The 24,566-nt window shown below is 50.6% G+C and overlaps 1 long non-coding RNA gene across 1 annotated transcript, besides 5 other annotated features; it reads left to right on the forward strand.

Annotated features, from left to right (window-relative positions):
* Positions 177-1,040, forward strand: LOC101928352 (uncharacterized). The gene is made up of 2 exons (XR_944029.4): positions 177-287; positions 559-1,040. It is a non-coding gene; the product is annotated as an uncharacterized LOC101928352 (long non-coding RNA).
* Positions 4,521-5,720: an enhancer, noted in NCBI's record as "CDK7 strongly-dependent group 2 enhancer chr14:75084232-75085431 (GRCh37/hg19 assembly coordinates)". NCBI's record gives its function as "activates an origin of replication core promoter dependent on BRD2, BRD4, P300/CBP, MED14 and CDK7 cofactors, with strong dependence on CDK7, by STARR-seq in HCT116 cells {active_cell/tissue: HCT116}" and the evidence as "EXISTENCE:reporter gene assay evidence [ECO:0000049][PMID:35650434]".
* Positions 9,184-10,050: an enhancer, noted in NCBI's record as "H3K4me1 hESC enhancer chr14:75088895-75089761 (GRCh37/hg19 assembly coordinates)". NCBI's record gives its function as "activates a minimal SCP1, AML or CMV promoter by ChIP-STARR-seq in primed H9 embryonic stem cells {active_cell/tissue: H9 hESC(primed)}" and the evidence as "EXISTENCE:reporter gene assay evidence [ECO:0000049][PMID:30033119]".
* Positions 17,736-18,385: an enhancer, noted in NCBI's record as "H3K27ac-H3K4me1 hESC enhancer chr14:75097447-75098096 (GRCh37/hg19 assembly coordinates)". NCBI's record gives its function as "activates a minimal SCP1, AML or CMV promoter by ChIP-STARR-seq in naive H9 embryonic stem cells {active_cell/tissue: H9 hESC(naive)}" and the evidence as "EXISTENCE:reporter gene assay evidence [ECO:0000049][PMID:30033119]".
* Positions 18,386-19,034: an enhancer, noted in NCBI's record as "H3K27ac-H3K4me1 hESC enhancer chr14:75098097-75098745 (GRCh37/hg19 assembly coordinates)". NCBI's record gives its function as "activates a minimal SCP1, AML or CMV promoter by ChIP-STARR-seq in naive H9 embryonic stem cells {active_cell/tissue: H9 hESC(naive)}" and the evidence as "EXISTENCE:reporter gene assay evidence [ECO:0000049][PMID:30033119]".
* Positions 22,038-22,332: a silencer, noted in NCBI's record as "tiled region #14689; K562 Repressive non-DNase unmatched - State 24:Quies". NCBI's record gives its function as "represses a minimal TATA promoter and a strong SV40 promoter by Sharpr-MPRA in K562 cells {active_cell/tissue: K562}" and the evidence as "EXISTENCE:reporter gene assay evidence [ECO:0000049][PMID:27701403]".

The raw sequence follows: 24,566 nt of genomic DNA on the forward strand, positions 1-24,566 counted from the left end.
CAGCTCCCCGCAACCTCCGCCTCCCGGGTTCAAGCGATTCCCCTGCCTCAGCCTCCCTAGTAGCTGGGATTACAGGCATGCGCCACCAAGTCTGACTAATTTTGTATATTATTTTATTTTTTAGTACAGACGGGGTTTCTCCATGTTGGTCAGGCTGGTCTCGAACTCCCAACCTCAGGTGATCCGCCCGCCTCGGCCTCCCAAAGTGCTGGGATTAAAGGCGTGAGCCACCACGCCCGGCCAAGGGGTCCTCTTTTTCACCGAGGCAAAGACACGGAGCCTCTTGAGTAAGTCACTCAAGGAGATAGCGCATGTGAAAGAGGGGAGTGGAATCTAGGCCTCCCGCCTCTGGCTGAATCCATTCCCGGGATCCCACCCAGCCCTTCACTCTCTCGGGAATTTCCCAGAGGGGGATTCGGTGACCCCGATTGACCCAGTGTGTGCATTCACATCTTGTGTTAGCAGGGAGGCGGGCAGGGGTGTGGGAATGCTGACTGCCGCTGTCTGCGTGTCCCCAGTAATCAGCACACCATTCTCACCCATGCTCCCTCCCTACAGCCTAAAGGCTTGGATCAACAGGGCTGCCCCTGGCACATTTGTACAGCCTATTTCCCAGAGAGGCAGAGTGAAGGAGCTGGCATGTGGGCACCAGTTCACAACCTCCCACACCACACAAAAGACAAGCCCAGGTAATATCTACTGTTGAAATAAAGCCTCGACCCCTGGCCTTGGCCTACAAACCCTAGCTGGCTGCCCCCGCTCTGATTTCATCTGGCCTCTTGCTCTCCCTTACCCACCACACTGTGCTGCCTTGGCCCTCTCTCTGCTCCTTGAACAAGCCAAGTGAATGCCCCCTTCCCTCTACTGGAAGGTTCCTCTCCAGGATGTTAGAGGGTAGTTCCTCATCACTGCTCCTCTCAGATTAAATATCAGCTCCTGGAGTAGCCATCCCTGACCTCCAATCTAGAGCAGCCCTCCCTCACCCCAGTCATGACTCTAACACACCACCCTGTTTCATCTTCATAAAACAGTTGACATCATCTTGTTATTGATTTGTTTGCTCGTGTAACTGAATTTTTTAATGGGCTGAACCTAAAGAGGGACTATCCAGAAACTGCTCCACTACTACCTTCAACCATATTATGGTAAATTTCCCTTTCCCACCCTTAATGACATCTCAGGCAGAGTCCTTGGCTTGAGAGGTCATCCCTACCAGACACGAGAACTATTCTATTAATATAATTAAGACCCATTTTCAGACACAAAAAGTCTGCTCCTGTCCAGATCAAAATCTCATCCAAGTTAATCAATATCACATCCCATTTAATAGTCCTCCTCTCCCCTGTCCCTTTGCTAGAGATCCTGCAGTGGTGAGAGTGGGGTGTGGTCTGTTTTCCTGACCTCCCTTTTCTGCTGTGGCTCCTCTTTGTCAAGGCTGGGAGAGAGGTGTTAGAGGAAAAGTAGCAAAGTCTTATGTGACAGGTACCCTTGGTTGGCAGGTGCCAAGCGCTGGCTTTTTCATGGGCACATATGTGGGTTTTTGGGAGGTTCTCTACAGGACCTCCACCCTGAGTTGCCATAGCAAATTACTCTCTGGCCAACCTCTCGGAGACCCCTGCATCCTCTGTCTCTCATAGGACTGTCCCACCTATGCCAGGCAAAACAATGGTGGGTTGGCCGCTCCTCACCCTGCCCACTTCTCACCTTGCCACACAGGCCACTCCAGCGAGGCTCCACGATCAGAATTCTCCAGACAGGAAGTGCACACAAGTCTCTTCATTTATGTACGTCCTCAATTCCTAAAGACATATGTTGGGTTCTCCCATGAACTGTCTTGCTGTAGTTTAATGCACCGAGGTGCCTGTAACATCCAGCAACATAGTCAGCATCAGTGGGGGGACAGTTATAGGGACAGAGCCTCCTCTTCTTGCAGATGACTGGTTCTCTCTGGGAGCTCCCTTCATTTGGTTTGAGTTGGGGAGTTCCCTCAGGGGAAATCTCAGCCCTGCCCACAAATGCAGCAGTGTTATGCTTCAGTGACTTTCTTCAATCCCTTTCATTTGTAGACTGGAATTGAGGGATGTAGTTTGATTGCTGTTGAACCTGTTCTGCCTTTAGTAAGGTGTCTAGTACTTCTCTTCAGAATGCAAGAATATTTAGCCCTCATTGTTCTATCTTTGTGGCTTCAGCAGATATTCCAAGAGCAGAGGAAAAGTCCTATTCAACAACCTATAAAATCATTTCTTGTCTGACTTCCCAAACCACAATGACAGCTCTAAAGCAACAGATATCTTGTCTGCGTTGCTCACCACTGTTTCTGCAGAACCTAGAACAGCCAAGAAGTATGTGTGAAATGGATAGCTAACTGAATGAAGGACACAGTAATCCCATCAAGTGGGGAGGGCTGGTATCATTAGACCCATTTTAAGAGAGAGGAACTGAGTTCTGGGTGGCAGCTCCTGATCCAGGTTCATGTGCTTGCTGCCTTTGGGGCTGGCTCTAAAGATCTCCTTGAACCCTACCCCTTGCATTTGACCATGAATGCCCCTTAGTTCCCAGAATGCTGCGTTCTGTTCCTGGGATGCTGCTCCTTCACAGCTGTGGAAGCCCCAGGTCCACACTTACCTCTCCTTGCCCAGATATCCACCCACCTCTGTAGTTCTGGGCTCCCTTCCTCTCCCCGGAACCTACCCACTTCCTTCAGAAGCTCCCCTCTAGATCCCTCAAGACCCACCTCAGATCCCCGTGGGCCTCCAAAAGCCAGAAACCTTGGCATCATCTTCGTCCCTGAGCTATTTTTTCCTCCTGTGTGTCCAAGTCATTATTACTGCTCCGTCTCCTCCGTCTGCATTTCTGGAAGTCTGCCGCCCATTCATCCCTCACCCTTCGCCTCCGCCAAAACCCTCACGCAGACCAACTTTCCCTCACCATCGGGCGCCCCTTCCACTCCTCAGTGAGTACAAGTGGTCCTTGGACGTTCCCACCCTGTTCGCCTGGGGACCATAACCCAGTTCATCTACTCCAAAGACTGGCATCTTCTACCCCATCCCGGCGCCACACTCTGTCCTGCCACCTACTTACTGCCCATATCTCCCTTACCCTCTAACTGCTGGGACTGATTGCAGCTCTTCAGAATCTCCAATCCCACAAACACTTGAGTTTTGCTTTTTTTTTTTAACCTGCCAAAATCGATAGAGCCTACTTTAGTCCAAACGCCATACTAAGCATGTTACATCAATTGGCTGATTTAACCAACCAAAGGAGGCATTATGATTTCCACGCATACAAAGGAGGAAACTGAGGTTGGCAATGGCTACTGGCTTGCCCAAGATGGCACAGCTGATAAATAGCAGAGGCAGGATTCAAACCTGGATCATTTTCCACCTGAGCCCAAGCTTTTAAGGTTACACCGCCTTGCCTCCACCCCGGGCTTGTAAGCCTGGAGCCCTCTTCACAATTGAATCATGACCTTTCCAACCACCCCACCACTATCACCACCAAAGGAGCTCTAGGGCATATCCCCAAATGCCCTCTTCCCTGCCTGCCAGCCCACTGTTCATGTACCTGGAGCTCATGTACCTGGAGATGTGGAGTTATCAGAACTTTCTGCCACCCTTAATCCTCTTGGCCCAGTGAAAGAAGGGAAGCTGTTTCAGCATGGCCGCTGACTCACCGTGTGTCACTTCCCCACCCCCTGATTAAAGCCTTCTCCCTCATTAGATCGCTGCTAAGCCTACTCACCCATCTCTTGGGTCTGGAGAGGAAAATCATCTCTGGAAAACCCGGCAGAGAGAGTCTAAAGGGTTGATAAAGAGATTCCAGCAGGGAAAGGTTTGCCCAGACACATGCCCCATGCAAGGGACAGCAGTCTCCTGGACTCCCAGGGCAAACTCACTGCTTTTCCATGTCTCACTGGAATAATGTTGGCAGCCAGAGGTCTACCAGAACCTGAGCTAATTTGGTAAATAAGGACCAAAAACAAGGGCCACATTTCGGCCCCCTTTGCTGAGACCCAGACTCCTGAAAGAATTCCAGGGATTTTTCTTGCTTGGAAGTAACTGGACCTCCAGCCCTGAATTCCTCTCCCCAGGAGAGCTTGTTCCCCTGCTCAGAACAAATAACACATTTCCTGGTTAATCAGAGGGCAGAATCGCTGAAGGAAAGTTTGACTGGGCCCCCAGCCTTCCAGACGGGAGCCGCTCATGGGCTTGGATGTTCTGCTCCAGACACTGGGCAGCTGGGACCCCAGCACTGCGCAGCCTCAGCCTCCAGTTTGGAAGGTGCAGGCCGTACAGAGAGGTGCCGACTCCCTCCTGTGTGAGGTTGTTAAGGCCCGCAAAGGCTGCCAGAACCATTCCACCTTAGGTGCCATGACCTGGCGTCCCCTCAAGAATTCACAACCACCCTGCCCTGGTCTGCCGGTGCCTGTCTCCTCCAAGTGGGTATGACATGCTGGCTGGTGGTGATAGCCATGGTATGGATGTTCCTGCAAAGGTAAGGTGAGCTGGCCTGTATTTCAGAGTGTGCTGGAAAGGGCCCTCCCACAAACATGTGGTGAACATTTACGTCTTCTGTGAGCGGAGCACAGTTCTGAGCTCATTTCCGTCTTCTGTGAATGCAGCACAGTTCTGAGCTTCATTTGGCTTCTACTTTCTTATCTGAAAGTTGAGATAATGATGTTCTTTTTGCCATTTTTCTCTTCAGGACAAACTAGCTAGCCAGCCCTGTTTACCCTGTCATGGGGCTAGGGGCAGGTGTCAATTACTACTCCTCCATTTACCAACTGATATTTCATTTATTGTTTGTTTGTTTGTTTGAGACAGGGTCTCACTCTGTCACCCAGGCTGGAGTGCAGTGGCACAATCTCGGCTCACTGCAGCATCCACCTCCTGGGTTCAAGCAATCCTCCAGCTTCAGCCCCCCAAGTAGCTGGGACTGTAGGTGCACGCCACCAAGCCTGGCTAATTTGTATTTTTTGTAGAGACGGGGTTTTGCCATTTTGCCCAGGCTGGTCTTGAACCCCTGGACTCAAGTGATCCTCCCGTCTCGGCCTCCTAAAGTGTTGGGATTATAGGTGTGAGCCACCACATCCAGCCTTGGTATTTCTTGAGCACTCAGAAGGTACCAGGCACTGTGCCAAGTCATCTTATAGTCACTTCCTTGTTTAATGAGAAGCGCTATTGATGAAGGAAGTGCTATTATTTCCCCACATAGCAGATGAGGAAATGAAGGCTCGGGGAAGTAAATGACTCATCCACAGTCACAAGCCAGTAGGTGGCTGCGCTGGGATTCACTCCTGGTTTGTCTGGTCCCAGATGCTAAACCAATGCCAGCTTCCAGGGGAAGGGAGACCACCGACAGCTGCATTTTTCTCAGAGCTGGAAGCATGCACAGCTGTTTGTGGTGTGGTGGGGGTGCTAATGGCTGCATGGGACTGTGGTCACAGGTCAGCCCCCACCAAGCATCCCCCATTCTCCTCAGGCCTGTTTACCAGCTAGGGGTCCGCTCTGAGTCAGGGCGGTGAATCTGATTCGCACCCACAGAGAAGAAGGAAGGAAGTCACAGCCACACTCACCCCACCTCCATCAAGTAGTCTGCAGTTGCTGAATAGAGCTCATCTCAACTCGTAGCTTTTCTCTTTGGGAAAGAGAAATGACATACATACAATGTCTATTTAGCTCTGTGTGGTAGAGGTGTTGCCATTCCCATTTCACAAGCCCAGAGGGGTAGTCGCTTGCTCAAGGCCACACAGCTGGGAGTTGAGCCAGGATTCAACTAAAAAGTCTGAACAACTCCAAAGTCCATGCTGTTTTCCCTGCAGCACACTGCACTCACACCAGGGTGTCCTGCAATGATGGGAAATGGGCAGCTCTTTCAAATCACTTAGTTCACTTCGCTTCCCTTCATTTCCAGTCTCTGGTGCATGGGTGGGCTGATCTGAAAGCTCCGTGCCATTCACTATAAGCTGAGATGTCATTTCCTATTTACCTGCATAAATTCCTTCAGTCCCTGGCTGGGGGTGGAGGGGTGGAGGAATCTTCTAAACCCCCGGGGGAGCCTGAAGCATAACTTCTCCTCAAGCACAGTCTCTGAAGACCTGAGCAGGACAACAGTGTGAGCAGCTGGAAGACCTCCTCCCTGTAATTCCTCCCAGTGAGACCAAGGGGACTTCATATGCTCTGCTGGAGGTGGAGAGAGTTACCCAGATGGGGAGAGCTCATGTACCTGGATTATTCTTTCAAAATCCCCAGGAAGAAAACCCTGTGGGCTGGGGGATTGTGCAGGCCTATCTAGGCTTCTAGAATGGCTGTGCAGGAATTTGAGGACAAAAAAGGACAAGAAGCAGCTTCCCTTGGCTGTCGCTGGCATCTTCCAGCCTGTGCCCACCTTGGCTTTGAGCTGGGTCATAGTAACACTCCTCACACCCTGAGGGATGAGGGATGCAGGGGCAGAGAGGAAGGTCTACAGTAGGGTCTTTCCTAAAACAAGCTCTCCCCAGGGAGGCCTGCAAGCCAGCTCCCTCTCACTCTCCATTGTCAAGACAAAGAGAGGAAGAGGATGCCTTCTGCCATCATCCCCTGAGTCCATTTTCCCTGGATCATCCATGGAGAGTGGGGGCTCAATGATGTTTGCCCTGGTGCCCCCAATACCCTCTCTAGGGCCCCAGTCCCTCAGGAACAGACCCAGACCTGGCAAATCCCCAGGAAAGGGCACAGACACCAGGCTGAGGGGGCAGGCGAGGTGCAGCAGATCCCAGTGGGCCCCGGCTAGTCCTAGTCTGAATGACTCATTCCTTGTTTCCGTCCACTGTGGTCTGAGTGCCTTGGCCCAGGGGCCCCCAAGAGGTTGTAACACAGGCTGGCCTCTCGCCCATCAGGGCTCAGCAGACAAAAATTAAAGATCTCACTCCTCAGGAACTCACACAGACAGCACAGGCATGCTCTGTACTCTGCCTCACCAGACCAGACCTCAGGCCAGAGGAGGCTGATGGCCAAGAGAGGAAGGAAAGTCGTCTCCAGCTGCTCCTCCTCCTCTTCACCCCCCATGACCTGCCATGAAGGCCTGGCCCTGCCCACTGTCTTCTTACTCCCCCTCTGGTCCTCCGCCTAACAGTGGTGGTGCCAGCGGCATCTCCTCAGCTCTGTTCCGTTCCTCCCCATTTCTGACTGAAGACAACAGCAAAGGTGAAACAGCCTGTGCCTCCCAGGAGGAACAGACTTATAGGGAACTAACCATACATTTTCTGGCAGCCCATTTCTGATTAAGTCACTCACCTGCTCAACAACCTTCAATGGATCCCCACTACTTCACAAATCAATCCCAAACTTCTTACTGGGTTTGACACACAAGCTTGTTTCATAACCCTCCCAGCCATGTATGCTGACACTCCGCACAGTCTCACCCTCTCAGAATCCCACCCAGTTTCCTCTCCCCCATCCCCTCACCCAAACACCTTGGCTGACATTATTTCCTTGATCTGGAATGTTCTTCACCACCCCTGCCTGTTTGTTTAAACTCCCATTTTAAAGGCCGCCTCTTCCATGAAGACTTCCTGGGCACCTCCCTCCATCTGGAAAGTTTGCTGCTTCCACCAAATCCCTGTAGCCCTCAACGTACTGCACTCTGCTCTGCATGACTAGTCCACAGCTATGGGTCCTGGAGTAGTAGGAAGAACAAGGGGCTTTGTGGTTCTAACCTCAGCACCATCATTTACCAGTTATGTGCCCTGGGCTAAGTGACTCATTGAGCCAGTTTCCTCACCAAGACAATAGAGATCCAATAGATACCTTTCTAAACAATGCCTAGAAAAAGCAACTGTACTTATCAGTGACATAACACTCCAGGCCACAGTGGATTGAACCAAAGATAAGCACCTGAGCCACAGGCAGCCCTTTCACTGGCCAGTCAGTGACCTAAGATTTCTGTGGGCTGACTTAAATACAGACATCATTGGTTGCTGAACAAATGAGATTCTCTCTGAAATTTCAACTAAGAAACTTTACTTTGAAAGCCAACCCCCTGGGATTAAAACAGACAAGTCCATGTTCCCTAGAGCTTACAGCCCAATGGAGCTCGTATAACCACACCGCAATAAAGCCAGAGAGGTGGAGTGACTTGCCCAGGGTCACACAGCTAGTCAGTTACACAGAGAAGGCTAGAGCTCAGGTCTCCCCACCAGGGCTTGGTCTAGGTTGGTTGGCTTCTACTACAGGATCAAAAGGATGGACCCTGAACTGATTGCCTACAGAAGGCTGAAGAGGCACCAGCCATACCCTATGTGAACCTATGCTAGGCACATGGGCGGCTTTGGTGCAAAGAATTCTTCCATTCCAAGCAGTCATTAAAACCAAAGTCAGATCATGTCTGGGAGCAGACTCCAGTTGGAATTCTGTGTCTGCCCTTAGTACATCTTTCTGATCACACCCCTTCCCCTCCCTGGGCCTCAGATTCCTCATCTACAAAAAGAAGATTTTTACAAATTCCCTGTCAACACTAAGATTTTGATTTGAGCAGCAGACAGATAAGGAGAGCATGTGGATCCAAGGAACTGCAGGGTCCACAGAATGTGCATGTGGAGGGGACTCCCCGAGATAGGCCATCCCATTTCTTCAATTTATGGCAGGGCAAACTGAGGCCCAAAGAGGGAGAGATGCTGGCCCAAGGTCATGTGACTGGTTATTGGCCAGCACTTGAACCAGGGCCTCCTGACTCCCAGGCCTTTCAACTCTTTCAGCTGCTGCAAGAAGCTGGGAGCTATCTGGCCGTCTGGGCCAGGGAAGCCAAGAGTCACTATGCATGTCAGGGCAGGGCCTCGGGGCTTGGGAACATCTCTGATGGTGAGTGTAAGTGGCAAAGCTGCTGGTGGAGAGGGGTGGCTCGAGGGTCCCGGAGGGCGTATTGGAGATGAGCTGTCAGCAGCTTCCCTCCTCTGGCTGACAAGAAGAAACAGGGAAGGGTCCATGATGGTTGAAGGGAAACAGTCCCCATTTCTGATAAAGCCACTGCTCCATGGAGTGCCCCCCGCAACTCACACACACACTATCCACCCCTGCCTGGCTGCTGAGACCTCCCACCCGCAATCTCCGTCTCAGGTTGTGTATTGGTATCCTCAGGCACACTATTTTGTGAAGCCTGGAATTCCTTTCACTGCCTGAGATGCTTCCAAGCACCCATTTCTAAAATTCAGCCTGTTTGGCTGGGATCATGATGCCCTCCCATTCCACAGACATTTTTTGAGCACCTAATATGTGTCAGGCACTGTGCTAGGCACGGGGACAACTTCACTCCCTTTGTGATGTTAAGTGCTTCCATAGGGGAATTGACACAGCCTTTTGGACTTACTGAAAAACTGCTAATTGTGCGAGGAGGGGCTTGGTTGGAGAACATTTCTCAGAAAGTCATGACTCTGACTTAAATCTTTTTTGAGACAGGGTTTTGCTGTGTCATCCAGGCTGGAGTGCAGTGGCACAATCACAGTTCACTGCAGCCTCAAACCAAGGCTCAAGAGATCCTCCCACCTCAGCCTCCCAAGCAGCTGGGACTACTGGCATGCACCAGCACACTCGGCTAATTTTTGTATTTTTCGTAGAGACAGGGTTTCACCATGTTCCCTGGGCTGGTTCCAAACTCCCGAGCTCAAGTAATCCATCCTCCTCGGCCTCCCAAAATGCTAGGATTACAGGTGTGAGCCACCACGCCTGGTTTCTGACTTAAATGTTTTTTGTTTTTTTTTTTTACTGGAGACAGGGTCTTACTTTCACCCAGGCTGGAGTGCAGTGGTGCAATCTCAGCTCACTGCAACCTCTGCCTCCTGGGCTCAAGTGATCCTCCCACCTCAACCTCCCAAGTAGCTGGAACCACAGGCACACACCACCATGCCTGGCTACTTTTTGTCTTTTTTATAGAGACGGGGTTTCACCATGTTACCCAGGCTTGTCTCGAACTCCTGAGCTCAAGTGATCCACCCGCCTCGGCCTCCCAAAGTGCTGGGAATATAAATGTGAGTCACTGTGCCCAGCCTCTGACTTAAATCTTAAAGTCTAAGAAGCAGTTTAGCATATGGGGAAGGGTGGGGCATGCCAAGGCAAAGGCAGTGAACGTGCAAATCCTGAGTGACTGGAAGGATTGCAAGAAGCTTGTATGGCTGAAGTTTCCATAGAAAGAAGGTTATGGAAAGGGAGGAGGCTGGAGGGGAAGGCTGGGGCTAATGCATGTGGAGCTTAGCTCTAACGAGCTCCTTCGCTCAGAAAAAGGAATCTGGCCAGGCACGGTGGCTCACGCCTGTAATCCCAGGACTTTGGGAGGCCAAGGCGGGTGGATCACCTGAGGTCAGAAGTTTAAGACCAGCCTGGCCAACATGGCAAAACCCCGTCTCTACTAAAAATACAAAAAAATTAGCTGGGCATGGTGGCACGCACCTGTAATCCCAGCTACTCAGGAGGCTGAGGCAGGAGAATCACTAGAATCCGGGAGGCGGAGGTTGCAGTGAGCTGAGATCACACCATTGCACTCCAGCCTGGTAAAAACAAGAGCAAAACTCAGTCTCAAAAAAAAAAAAAAAAAAGAAAAGAAAAGGAAAAAAGAATCTTTTTCCCACATCCAAGCCACCAGCTGGCCCCAGAGTGGGCAGACAACTACCTGGAATTCTGAAACTGATGTCTTCTGGTTAACAGGGAGGTCACTTGGGTGAGGAGGAAGCAGCATGATCTTATTCTCATCAACCCTCACTAAAGCCACCCCAAAATAAACATCTAAACATAAAGTCGTACAGATGCCAGACAGGTATTTGCCATGCTTAAAACAATGCCCAGTCCTGCTTCCCAGCACTGCATCCCCCCATGGCTTCTCTTTTCTAGAAAGTGAGGAGCTGCCAGTGCAACAGCTCTGGCCTGGCCCCTGGGCTCCTGCCGCCATGACCCACTAGCCAGACTGTGTCTCTTCCTTGCCCCAGCTACCTCCACTTTTCTAAACCCTCTCTGAATTTCCTACTCCCTTTGGACCCCCCGGGTTCCTCTGGGGACTCAGCCTCAGTCAGGCTCTTGTCCCCAGTCACTCATTCTTGCTGGGCCTCAGGTTCTTCTCTGATCCCATAAGCTCAAGTTGAAGTTATATCATGCCGGGTGTCACAATATACATCTCCAAGCCCACCTGCTCTTCGGCCTCCCTCATAGCTTTGCTTCATAGATAGAGAAGCCTTATGTGCTTGACATCAAACAGATACCTGAGGAGTGCCTGGTGCATTTCAGCCATTATTTCTTGAGTATCCCTTTGTCAGGCATCAGAGTTGCCAAGAAGAATAAGGCTAAGGACGGTCCCTACCCTCAAGCAGCTGCCAGTATAGTAGGAAAGGCAGACAGTACATATCATGGTAAGTGCTGTGAGTGAGATAAGATCAGGGTACAATGTGAATACAAGGACAGGGTACCTAATCCAGCCTGGGAGCATAGGATGGTCAGGGAAGGTCCTAGAGAAGATGCTGTCTGAGCTGGGGCTGGAAGGCTGGGCATGTCTCAGCCAGGAGAAGGTGAAAAGGCTGAGGAAGAGAAGGCAAAGCTGTGATTACCAGAGCCAGGTTCACACAAACTAAACCACACCCCATTCAACCCCGTTTCTTTTTTTTTTTTTAAGACAGAGTCTCACTCTACTAGAGTGATGTGGCCCAATCTTGGTTCATTGCAACCTCTGCCTCCCAGGCTCAAGCGATCCTCCCACCTCAGCCTCCCAAGCAGCTGGGACTACAGGTGCGCGCCAGCACGCTCGGCTAATTTTTGTATTTTTTGTAGAGACAGGGTCTTGCCATGTTACCCAGGGCTGGTCTCAAACTCCAGGTCTCAAGCAGTCCTCCCGCCTTGGCCTCCCAAAGTGCTAGGATTACAAATGTGAGCCACAGAACCCAGCCCCAGTTCCTTTTTCAATAGGGTTCCTGACCAGAGAAATGTTGTCCTATTTTTAATGATATTCAAATGAAATGGAAATGATATTCAATGTGGATAGGCTGAGAAAATGTGGAGCTCATGGTAATGCAATTAGGCATATGTGTAGATGTTTAAACAACCATTCCCCACATTGATGAATGAATGGAGGTCATTGAGACCTATAAACATGCATGAGACAGGGATGTAACCTACACAAAACTTCTCACAATTTTGAGATCAGAAAAATAATTTTTAGGCCGGGCGCAGTGGCCCACGCCTGTAATCCCAGCACTTTGGGAGGCTGAGGCAGGTGGATCACCTGAGGTTGGGAGTTCCAGACCAGCCTGACCAGCATGGAGAAACCCTGTCTCTACTAAAAATACAAAAAAATTAGCCAGGTGTGGTAATGCTTGCCTGTAATCCCGGCTACTCGGGAGGCTGAGTCAGGAGAATTGCTTGAACCCGGGAGGTGGAGGTTGCGGTGAGCCGAGATCACACCATTGCACTCCAGCCTGGGCAAGAAGAGCAAAACTCCATCTCAAAAAAAAAAAGAAAAAGAAAAGAAAAATAATTTTTATCAAATTTTCACATGACATAGAACTAGAAGAATAAATGATAAAACTGGATGATAGAAGCAAAATATAAACTGATCTTATCTAGAAATTTAATAGAGATAAGTAAAAAAGTCTTACATCTTGGTCCAGATAAATTAATAATTAACTTAAGGATAAGAGATACTTGCTTTGGGCCGGGCGTGGTGGCTCAAGCCTGTAATCCCAGCACTTTGGGAGGCCGAGGTGGGTGGATCACATGAGGTCAGGAGTTCAGGACTCCCAGCTACTTGGGAGGCTGAGGCGGGAGAAATGCTTGAACCCGGGAGGCGGAGGTTGCAGTGAGCCAGGATCACGCCATTGTACTCCAGCCTGGGTGACAGAGAGAGACTCCATCTCAAAAAAGAGAAAAAAAAAGAGATACTTGTTTTGATACCAGCTCATGTGAAATGACCCAAATTTGGGGAGACAGTGGTGCAAACTATTCAGCAGTGAATAGGGAGAGCCTAGGTAGCTACTGGTTCAAAATAAACTAACAATACAACTTCCTTAAAGGTCTAGTGCCATCTTGGATAGAATCCAGGGCTCAGAAGCCAGGTGCGGTGGCTCATGTCTGTAATACCAGCACTTTGGGAGGCCGAGCGGGGAGGATCACTTGAGGCCCGGAGTTCAAGACCAGCCTGGGCAACATAGCAAGACTCTGTCTCTACAAAATGGTCTGGTAAGAACCTATCTCTACAAAAAAAATTAAAAATTAGCTGGGTGTGGTGCACACCTGTAGTCTCAGCTATTCAGGAGGCTGAGGCAAGAGTATCATTTGAGCCCAGGAGTTCAAATCCAGCCTAAGTAACACAGAGAGACTCTGTCACAGAGAGAGACAAAAAGTATATTTAAGGGCGAGGGTTAACAGTAAATGGGCATCACATCTTATTGGGATGATAAAATGTTCCAATATTGATTTACAGTGATGGTTGTAAAACTTGGTAAGTTTACTAAAAATTGAATTATGCACTTGAAAATGGTAGATTATATGATATACAATATATGCCTCTATAATTTTTTTTATAAGAGTTAAGAGTTTCAGGCCAGGCGTGGTGGCTCACGCCTGTAATCCCAGCGCTTTGGGAGGCCAAGGCAGGCGGATCACCTGAGGTCAGGAGAACAGCCTGACCAACATGGAGAAACCCCATCTCTACTAAAAATACAAAATTAGCTGGGCGTGGTGGTACATGCCTGTAATCCCAGCTACTTGGGAGGCTGAGGCAGGAAAATTGCTTGGACCTGGGAGGTGGAGGTTGCGGTGAGCCAAGATAGAGCTATTGCACTCCAGCCTGGGCAACAAAAGCAAAACTCTGTCTCAAAAAAAAAAAAAAAAGAATTTCGGGCAGGCGAGGAGGTGGCTTACGCCTGTAATCTCAGCACTTTGGGAGGCCAAGGCAGGCGGATCACCTGAAGTCAGGAGTTCCAGACCAGCCTGGCCACCATGGCACAACCCTGTCTCTACTAAAAAAAAAAAAAAAAATACAAAAATTAGCAGGGTGTGGTGGTGCATGCCTGTAATCCCAGCTACCTGGGAGGCTGAGGCAGGAGAATGGCTTGAACTTGGGAGGCAGAGGTTGCAGTGAGCTGAGATCGTGTCATTGCACTCCAGCCCGAGTGACAAGAGTGAAACTATGTCTCAAAAAAAAAAAAAAGAGAGAGGAGTTTCGTACTTCAAGGTTGGGGAAAGGAGAATATCCTGCAAAGGAGATAATGAAGAAAAGTCCGAAGTGGAAAGGGGAAGTGCCATAGAACCCGATGAAAGAGACATTTTAAAGAAGGAAACTGTGGCCAACTCTAGGCAAAGCCACCGAGGTGTCACATAAAATGGAAACTTAATAGTTTCCATTAACCAGGCACGATGGCTCACCCCTACAATCCCAGCACTTTGGGAGGTGGAGGCAGGCTGATGCTTGACCCCAGGAGTTCGAGACCAGCCTGGGCAACATGGCAAAACCCTGTCTCTTCTAAAAATACAAAAATTAGCCAGGCATGGTGGTGTACACCTGTAATCCCAGCTACTTGGAAGGCTGAGGCACAAGAATCAGTTGAACCTGGGAAGCGGAGGTTGCAGTGAACTGAGATCGCGCCACTGTACTCCAGCCTGGGCAACAGAGCAAGAATCTATCTCAAAAAAAAAAAAAAATAGTACTTTATTTATCACAGTGGAGTTCACAATAGAGTTTCAGATTCAGGACTAGGAACAGCAAAAACATGGAAATACAGATTTCCGCTCTAGTAAATGCAGCACGTGGAGCTCTCCAACGGCAGGACAGATCCCACTGCTGAGTAATGAATGAGCTCTCTGACACCGGTAGTATTCAAAGAGAGCCTGGATGAGGCATTGTAGAAGGGATTTCTACATGGAAGGAAGATCTTTAAGGAGTACGAGTCTGTGAAAGGCCCAGGGTTTTCCTAAGATTTCATGACTTCTCTTTGCTGAAGACCTCTTCTCCACCCCTGGCCTTGGGCTCCTCATCTCAAGCATTGAGAGCTTGACCTGTGGGAAGGCAGAATGGCCCAGCCTCCTGAAGCCCCAGGGACCTCACTGCTGTTGGGTAGGGGTCCTTCAACCTCTGATGGCTCCCTTGAGTAATGAGCTAGCCCAGGGGTGGGTGATCACACAACAGCAGGTTTTCCCAAAGTCAGTGGAGAGAACTGAGTAATCCTGGGAGACCAGGAGAAAGAGACTGAAGGGCAAGGGAGATGGCATGGGAGGACTGGTCCTCCTTTTTAAATATGTGGGGCCAGCTGTCTTTGTGTCTCTGCCTCACCCTCACACAACATTTCCCCAGGGATAAGATGTGGGAAGGAGAGGCTACAAGATGAAGTTCATGGTAACTGTGTGGAGGGTTCCTGAGATAGGAAGAGGAGGAGGATATAAAGCACCTAGCCAGGCATGGTGGTGCGCACCCGTAGTCCCAGCTACTTGGGAGGCTGAGGTGAAAGGACTGCTTGAGCCCAGGAGTTTCAGAACTGGTCAACATAGCAAGACCCTGTTTTTAAAAAATAAAAAACTTGGAAAGCTGTGTGGAGCTTCTGCACTGCTTGAGCTGCTGATGGTCAGGTCTGTGTCAGCTGGCATTGTTCCAACATGAACTTTGAACCCATAGCAAAGGGGAAGGAATCCTTGACAACTCCCAGAGTGGGCCTGACAAGCTACGGTGCTGCCTGGTCACCAAAAAGGACACACAAGAGGCAATCCATTCTCCCAGCCAACATTTCCTGGGCATCTTCTATGTGCCAGGCCCCCTCACAGAGCTTGCAGTCGTTCATTCTGCTCATTCATTAATACGAGGAAACTGCCCCAAAACTGCAAGGAAAATGCCAACCAGGCTAGGTAACAGAGCTGAAGGAAAAAGAGCCAAGTGCATGCTTTGAGCCTGCCTCATGAAGTCAAGTCAAACATCTTTCTTTCTTGTCTCTGTACAAGAACTCCAGCTGGGGAGGAAGGAGGAGGTGACAGCAACAGTACATGCTTCCCATTGTACAGATGGCAATCTTGATCTCCGAACTGCTGCATGCCCAGCCACAGGGGGCATCCCATGTGACAAGGAATTAGAACTACACTGCTTCCTAATACTATATTTCGTGGCAGGAGGAGTTGGAACCAAGGGACCTCAGGTTACTCTCCCAGGATGTGGGAGGGGAAAGGTAAAGGTAGTGTGAAGTGGGCCTCAGCAGAACCTCAGAGCCAAAAGGAACTCCGGGGACCATCTGACCTGCAGCCCCTCCACCCCCAGCCCCCATTCCACAAACAACCATCCCATAGCCCATATTGCTCCCCTGGGTTCCAGGAGACAGTGTCCCAGGTTTTGCCTTCTCTGGTCTTTTCTTCCACATGCCCTGAATCTAAGGAAACACTGGGGCCCATCAGGCTCACAGATGACTGTGTTCCCACTTCCACACCAAATGGTACCAGCAGCACATGTCAGCTGGGAGCAGTGGCTTTCAAACCTTTTAACCACAACTCATACTAATTACTTTTTTTTTTGAGATGGAGTTTCGCTCTTGTTGCCCAGGCTAGAGTGCAATGGCACCATCTCGGCTCACTGCAACTTCTGCCTCCCAGGTTCAAGCAATTCTCCTGCCTCAGCCTCCCTAGTAGCTGGGATTACAGGCACCCATGACCATGCCCAGCTAATTTTTGTATTTTTAGTAGAGACGGGTTTTCACCATGTTGGCCAGGCTGGTCTTGAACTTCTGACCTCAGGTGATCCACCTGCCTCGGCCTCCCAAAGTGCTGGGATTACAGACGTGAGCCACCACGCCTGGCCCTGTTTTGTTTTTAATGCTGGTTGTGACTCACTATGGTGATTTCACAACCCACATGTGCATTTCAATGCCCACCTGGGCTAGAGGTACAGGCTCAGCTGCCGGAGTCCTTAACAGAGGTGGGGATAACTAAGGGCAAACCAAGAGGGTAAGGCATGAAGGAGCAGCAGGATGGGCAGTTTATATGTCCCCAGAAGAAAGGCCTTGGAACCCCTCAGCCTGAAGAAAAAGGAGGCCAAGGGCAGGCTCTGTCAGATCTTCACCTATACCAAGGCGTTTTCTTCATTTGCTTGTTTGTCCCATATAGAAGACAGTGAGCGGTATTCTTCACACTGAGCACAAGAAAAGGGGAGTTGACAAAAACTGCAGTGGAAAATAAGTCAGTGCAACACAGGCTGGGTGGGTGAGTATGTGCAGGGAGTGAGGGCAGCAAGAGATTCTACGCATTAAAAAAGGATCGTGGCCAAGTGCAGTGGCTCACACCTACAATCCCAGCACTTTGGAAGGCTGAGGCAGGTGGATCACTTGAGCTCAGGAGTTTGAGACCAGCCTTTACAACACAGCAAGACCCTGTCTCCACCAAAAATACAAAAAATTAGCCGAGCGTGGTGGTGCATGCCCTGTAGTCCCAGCTATTCGGGAGGCTGAGGTGGTAGGGATCACTTGAGCAGGGGAGGCAGAGGTTGCAGTGAGCTGAGATCGCACTACTGCACCCCAGCCTGGGCAACAGAGTGAGACCCTGTCTCAAAACAAAACAAAACAAAACAAAAAACGGTTCATGTGACGTTTCTTCTTATTAAAGGTAAGGGGAAGTGGGGAAGTCAGTTGTCCAAGAAAACTGGTAAATGCTCAGCAATCCGGGATGGTTGTGATGTTTCCCAGAAGACACTGGAAGGGCTAAGATGATTTGAGGGGGTCCTGTCCAGCCCTGGGAGTTCACTACCTCCTTAGCTCGCCCCAACAAAACCTGCCAGTGGACTTTCACCCTGGCTTGGGGTTGGCTGAGGAAGGTTTGGCTAGATCCACAGGCTGCCCAGGCAGAAAGGCCTCCCCATTTCCAGACCCTGAAAGAGAACCAGGCCAGGGAAAATCTGAGAGAGAGAGTGAGAACCTGTGGAGGGGCCAGGTGTAGGGAGGAGGCCGCACACTGTGTGCTGTATCCAAGTGTTCCAGACTGGGTGGGAAGCACTGGGAGCTGGGGCAGGGGACGGGAAGGGGTCGCTGAGCAGGAGCCGTGAGGTCAGTGTTGGGCAAGAGGCAAGTCTGGCTCCCATCATACCTGCACTAATGAGCTGGAAGCAGACGGAAACGGCACAGCGTGTGAAGGCCAGCAAGGGAAGATCCTCCCCATGCCAGCTGGACGGGAAAAGACCGAGCGTGGTGGAAACAGGGCCTGTCCCCTCCCCATCCCCTGGAATCTCAAGCTAGAGGCTGGAACAGCCAGGAGAAGGGGTTGGGAGGTGAGGGCTGATCAGATGAGGCTGAAACAAGACCTCCTGGGGGAAAGGGGATTAGAAAGATGCCAAGGGACTGCGGCATGGAGGAGAGAAAGCCAAGGGGCTACAGAGGCACCCTGCCAACCCTGGGGAGGGAGGAGGCCCCAGGGGGGTTGTCAGCTGCAGGCACCGGCCCTGAGGAGAACAGCTGGACTGAGCCAAAGGCTGGACAGTTGACTGACTTAAAAGGGCAGACGGAATGGGCAAGTCCATCCTGCCCCGTCAGGGCAGCAGAAATGGCCACAAGTATTCACAGACTGTAAACACTAAGGCAGGGCTTGTCTGGGACTGGGAAGATCTGGCTAGGCCTGGCAGGGGAGAGCCGAGGGCTGGAAGGAGGCCTGAGCCTGGTGACTTCTGCAGTGGACTGTCCTGAGACCCAGGAGGAGGGTCACTTTGGGAGCCCCAAGGATCACTCACAAAGCCTCACTGGAGCCAGGAGCTAGACACAGCTCTAGACAGACAGCAGGGGCTGTCTTTTGTGTGCGTGCAGGGGGCAGATCACCCCAGCAGGTAGTTTTTCCTCTCCGACGTCCAGGATCCAGGGACTCGAGAGTGGCCTTTCTGCCTGCATCCTGGGCATGGTGTTAGAAGTGGAGGGGTGCTGACTCTACCTCCCAGCTCCAGTGGGCCCAACGCAGGTGGATAAATATTTACAGAACATCTGCATTAACCTTTCACAGGCAGGGTGGCCCCTCCCAGTGGCTTTCATATGGACCCTCACCCCCACCCCACCTCTGGTACAGAAAATTCCTACCAGAAGCAGAGCCTGTGGATCCAGTTTGACCCTGTGCACTCCTGGTTCAGCATCAACATTGGCTGCAGGTGAAAACCTAAGGCTGTGACCACAGACAAGTGGCCTCTCCCCTTGGGGCCTCAGTTTATCCACCTATAACACAAGAGGACTGAACCCTCTCTGCACCCAGTGATTTTCATTGATTCCAGCCTTTTGCTCGGCCTATGGTTGCTATGGAAACAGCACAAGGGAATAGTGCACCCCGCAGACAGGGTGGCACCCTCCAGCCTGTGACTATCACGGGCTCTGTCTGCCCAGCATCCTTCCTCTCTTATTCTCCTACCAGCATCCATTTTCCTTTAGGGAACTGCTCTTCCCTTTTCTAGGCTGTCTGATGGAACAGCCAGTTGCAATATTTGCAATGGGGCAAACAACCCAAACTGGCCCAATCAGATTCTCTCCCATGATTTGGCCCTGAAGCAGAGACACACAGTTATAACTAAACCATCCAATCGCAGCTCCCCAAAAAGTTCCCGGGGCTGGGAGCCTCATTACTGCCTACATTCCTGGCATTCTTCCTATCTACTTGTTCAGTTCTTATTTCTATTATGTTTGCTCCTAAAATCTTTGTGGTAACCTTACTCTTTTTTAATGTACAAATGAGAGTCCTGGCCAGGTGCAGTGGCTCACACCTGTAATCCCAGCACTTTGGGAGGCCAAGGTTGGAGGATCACTGGGCCCAGGAGTTTGAGATCAGCCTTGGCAAGATGGTGAGATTCCATCTCTACAAAAAATCAAAATATTATTCAGGCGTCGTAGCACACACCTGTGGTCTCAGCTACTTGGGAAGCTGAGGCTGGAGAACTGCTCGAGCGCGGGAGTTGAAGTCTGCCATGAGCCATGATCTCGGCACACACTCCAGCCTGGGTGACGGAGCGAGACCCTGTCTCAAAAAATAAATTAATAAATAACAAAAAATAAAAATTAGAATCCTTATTGCTCATAAGAAAAGAACTCTAGCTGGGCACAGTGGCTCCCACCTGTAATCCCAGCACTTCGGGAGGCCAAGAGGGGTAGATCACCTGAGATCAGGAATTTGAGACCAGCTTGGCCAACATGGTGAAACACCATCTCTATTAAAAATACAAAAGAAATTAGCTGGGCATTGTGGCGGGCACCTGTAGTCCCAGCTACTCAGGAGGCTGAGGCAGGAGAATCACTTGAACCCAGGCGGCAGAGGTTGCAGTGAGCTAAGATTGTGCCACTGCACTCCAGCCTGGGTGACAGAGTGAGACTCTCAAAAAAAAAAAAAAAAAAAAAAAAAAGAACTCCAATTTATATACCAGCTGAGAGAGACAGGCTAGGTGGACTCCAGCCCTCCCTGCTTTGCAATCCTAGGGCCATGGGCTCAGCTCTCCCACAGCATTCAGTTCATGTAGTCAGCATGGTGGGTTTGGCTCTGTTTGCTCAACAAGACTGCAAACATGAACAGCTGTATCTCAGACACCTGACTCAGAACCTTACACACACTGGAGGTGCTTAGTTGCATGGAATTGTGATCTTACAGCTTGAGGCAGGTAACTCCAGTGGGAACAAAACTTAATGAGTATCAGGGGATAATTCCCAGAGAACCGATATAAACAGCTGCCCAACAGACCAGGTCTGGGACAAGGCAATTCCCACTGCATCCAAGTGACGGATAAGTGCAGGGGAGAAGGGGTCAGGGTTCATGGCAGGGCGTTTTAGGGAAAGTCTACTCTGCCCCCTGAAATCTCTCTCCCACCTCTTCACGAATACTTCTGATTTCTGAAACAAGATGCTAAGGCACTCGGTCAGCACTTAGAAATGCATCTGCCCAAGAGGAGATCAAAGAGAATGTTTTCATTTACTCTGAAGTATAAAGATTGGGTAAAGACCCAGCACGGTGGCTCACACCTGTAATCCCAGCACTTTGGGAGGCCAAGGCAGGTGGATCATGAAGTCAGGAGATCAAGACCATCCTGGCCAACATGGTGAAACCCATCTCTACTAAAAATACAAAAATCAGCTGGGCGTGGTGGCAGGCACCTGTAATCCCAGCTACTCGGGAGGCTGAGACAGGAGAATTGCCTGAACGCAGGAGTCAGAGGTTGCAGTGAGCTGAGATCGTGGCACTGCACTCCAGCCTGGCGACAGAGTGAGACTCCCTCCCGCCGCCCCCCCTCCCAAAAAAAAGATTGGGGATAGACTCTTTCCTAAGCGTTCTTGACAGGGGAAAAAGGTTAGGGGGCATAAAGGTTTTCAGGGTGTGGAAAGTAAAAATGGATTTTCAGGTAGAACATGAGAAAGAGAAAGGGCTGGAAAAGAAGGCTGGGATACAAGCGTATGGGATACACATCAGCTTTGGCTGCAAGTTACAGAAGCTGGCTCTGGCAAACATAAGTGGCGAAAGAGAATTTGTTGGAAAGATACATGGTACTGAAGGAGGCCTTCAACACTCAGGCCTGAGAAGGGACCAGGGCAGCTTTGGGGGTCTGGGTAGCGGGAACTCATGAGCTGTCTGGCTTTGGATGATTCTAAAGCAACTGCCTTCCATTATGGGTAATGACTCCAACTCAGATTCAAATTCCCCAGGAAAAAGTCTGACAGATCTTGGGTCTATGCTCACCCTTTGAGAATGGAGGGTTGGGAGAGTCCTGTGGCTGGCAGCCCCACCAGGAATGCATGGAATTGGGGAGTTTGAGTTTCCCAAAGGAAAGCTGAGTTTCTGTTACTCAAGGAAGGGAAGAAGTGCTGGGCATATGTGCACAGCAGATGTTCTCTACACATGGGATGTCAATTGAGAGAGGTGGGGGATGGATGGGGTGGGGGATGGGAATTTCCAGGACGCTGCAGAACCTGCCATAGGGGCCAAGGCTCCTGCCACAGCCCTGGATTGCATCTCCCTCTCCTCCTATAAAAGCAAGCTCAGGAAAAGAACATTGTTTCTGTTCTTGACAGCTCCATAGAATTGTCTCCTTAGCTTCCAGTCACGCTCAGCTCCTGCTAGAATAATTACCACCCACCTGTTCTCCATACAAGAATTCACAGCCAGTGGACACACATCTGGCCTGTAAAAGACATGCTTGGAAGTCTCCCAGGCTGCTTGGAACAGGCAGGAGACAACACAGGGTCAGCCACTAATTCAAAGGCAAGGAAACAGCTGGCCTGAGAGCTATGGTCACTGGAGCCTAAGTGGCAGCGAACTCCTCCCCTGCCAGGCAGCTCAATGGATGTGGGACAGGTGTGTCCTGAGACAAACAAACCCCCTGAGACTCAGAGGAGGTTTGAGTGCTGGGCCCTGTCCTCTTCTTCCAGCACATGGCTGTCTTCCCCACCCCCATCTGCTTCTCTAGTGGGTGGAGGGGGCTAATACCCTGCCTTTCTTGGAGTTCCTTTATTTTTCTTCCCATTACTGTTTACATCACTCCCTTCTAAACACCATGGAAATTAAGAAAAGGCCAGGTAAAGTTTTAATGGGGAGGGCCAGAAATATTTTGGTGGTGAAGGTAATTGCATCCAAGTTTTAAGGATGTGGATGCAGAATTGGAAGGGAGCAGGGCGCGGTGGCTCACGCCTGTAATCCCAACAATTTGGGAGGTCAAGGCAAGTGGATGTCTTGAGACCAGAAGTTCGAGACCAGCCTGGCCAACATGGTGAAACCCCATCTCTACTAAAAACAAAAATTAACCAGGCATGGTGGCACACACCCGTAATCCCAGCTACTCAGGAGGCTGAGGCAGGAGAATAGCATGAACCCATGAGGCAGAGGTTGCAGTGAGCCAAGATCGCACCACTGCACTCCAGCCTGGGCAACTGAGCGAGACTGTCTCAAAGAAAAAAAAAATGGAATTGGAAGGGGACTGACTGAGAGAGCCTCTAGGCCAGCGGTTTTCAACTTTTTTTTTTTTTTTTTTTTGAGCAAAACCTTTGTGCAGTGTTTCAGCATTCAACAAATATTTACTGAATGCCAACTCTGTCCCAGGTGCTGTGCTAGGGGATACAGCAGCATGCAATCCAGACCTGATTCCAGCCCTTGTGAGCATACAGTGTAGTGGAGGAGACAGACACTGGGAAAATAATTAGATAAGTAGATCAACAGTGAGCTGCAATTGAAGTAGAGCTAAGAAAGAGACGTATGCAGCTAGATGACCTAATACAGACTTGGGAGGGGATTTGGGGAAGGTATCCCCAAAGGAATGACATTGGAGCTGAGATCTGAAGGGTGCACAGAACTCAGAAAGGAGGTATGGAGGAGGACGGTCAGGAGGAGATGTCATAAGATCCTGGAGGTAGGAAGGCTCTTGTGCTGGAGGAACTCACAGGCAAGGCAAGCAGAGTAGTGTGGGATGCAGGGGCTAGGGATTCAGGGACCAGACTGCCAGGGGTTCAGGAGTCAGATCCAAGATGTGAACAGGAAACTGGGGAGCTCCTGTGGCTGGAAAGGGGCCCGCCCTTGATCTCTCCCCAAACACCCCAACACACATACTTCCCTTTGCCTTATAGCCTCTGAGGCATCTTGGAGGAACGTTGGGGCTTGTCCGAATACCGCTTGAAAACCACAAATCCAGCCCTATTGCCATTTTCAGATGTGAAGACTGAGAATCAACAATTGCCCCCTCCCAGTGCCCTCTCTGTTAACTCTGGGCAGCTAATCCAGCCTCCCTGGAGAGAGTGTGATGCGGTGACAGACTCTGAGGACACTGCAGACAGCTCAGTGTTTCAGGAATGATGGGGACAGCCTTGAGAGCCAGCCCAGGGCTCTGGCATGGGGAATGGACCCCAAAGATGAGAGGTTGGCCCAGTCTGGGGCACTCAGTCTTTTCTGCCTGTGCTGGGAGAGTCTCTGACCCTCTTAGCCCATCCCCATCATTCATCCAGAGGCGCAGGCAGGCCGCCTGCCAGGATAGCAGATCCCACTCAGCTCTGGCCTCAACATTCCTCTCCCCGCCGGGGGGAAAGGTCAAGTGTAGGATATTTTCCCAAGCCCTGGAGAACAGCAGCACCTCCTGATATCTACAGCTACTACCCAGCTTGAAGGGCAACTACCAGGGCAGACAGGCAGGACGGGAGAGCAGTCAGCTGGCCCTCTAAGCAGGGCTGCAGGGGGAAGGGACTGGGGAGGCAGGGCCTGAAATATATCAACAACTTCAGCCCCAAGAAGTAGAGTAGAGAGTGGGTGATGGGAAAAGGGCTTGCATGGCAGGGGTCTGAGGCTGAGGCTCCGTCTGCCTCAGGAAGGCTAAAACGTTCCTGCTTCAACCCAGCTGGTCCTCATTTAACTAACTCCAGGGTCTGGCCTCTCTGGAGACCCCCTGCTGGCCCGTCTGCAGCTCCTGGAGCAGAAGCCAAAAGCAGCCACCAGCTTAGAGACAGCAGCTGAACCCAGAGCCCCCCAAGCAGGAGACAGGCAGTGCAGGCATTGCAGGCCCCTTTGCAACCCTGCAAGGAGTCAAAAGCCAAGTAGGTGGGGCTGGGGGGAAGGCTTCAGAGATAAAGAAGGCAGAGGCAATTGTCTCTAAGCCAGATCAGGAGC

This window comes from Homo sapiens, chromosome 14 (assembly GCF_000001405.40).
Source record: "Homo sapiens chromosome 14, GRCh38.p14 Primary Assembly".
Taxonomy (NCBI): Eukaryota; Metazoa; Chordata; class Mammalia; order Primates; family Hominidae; genus Homo; species Homo sapiens.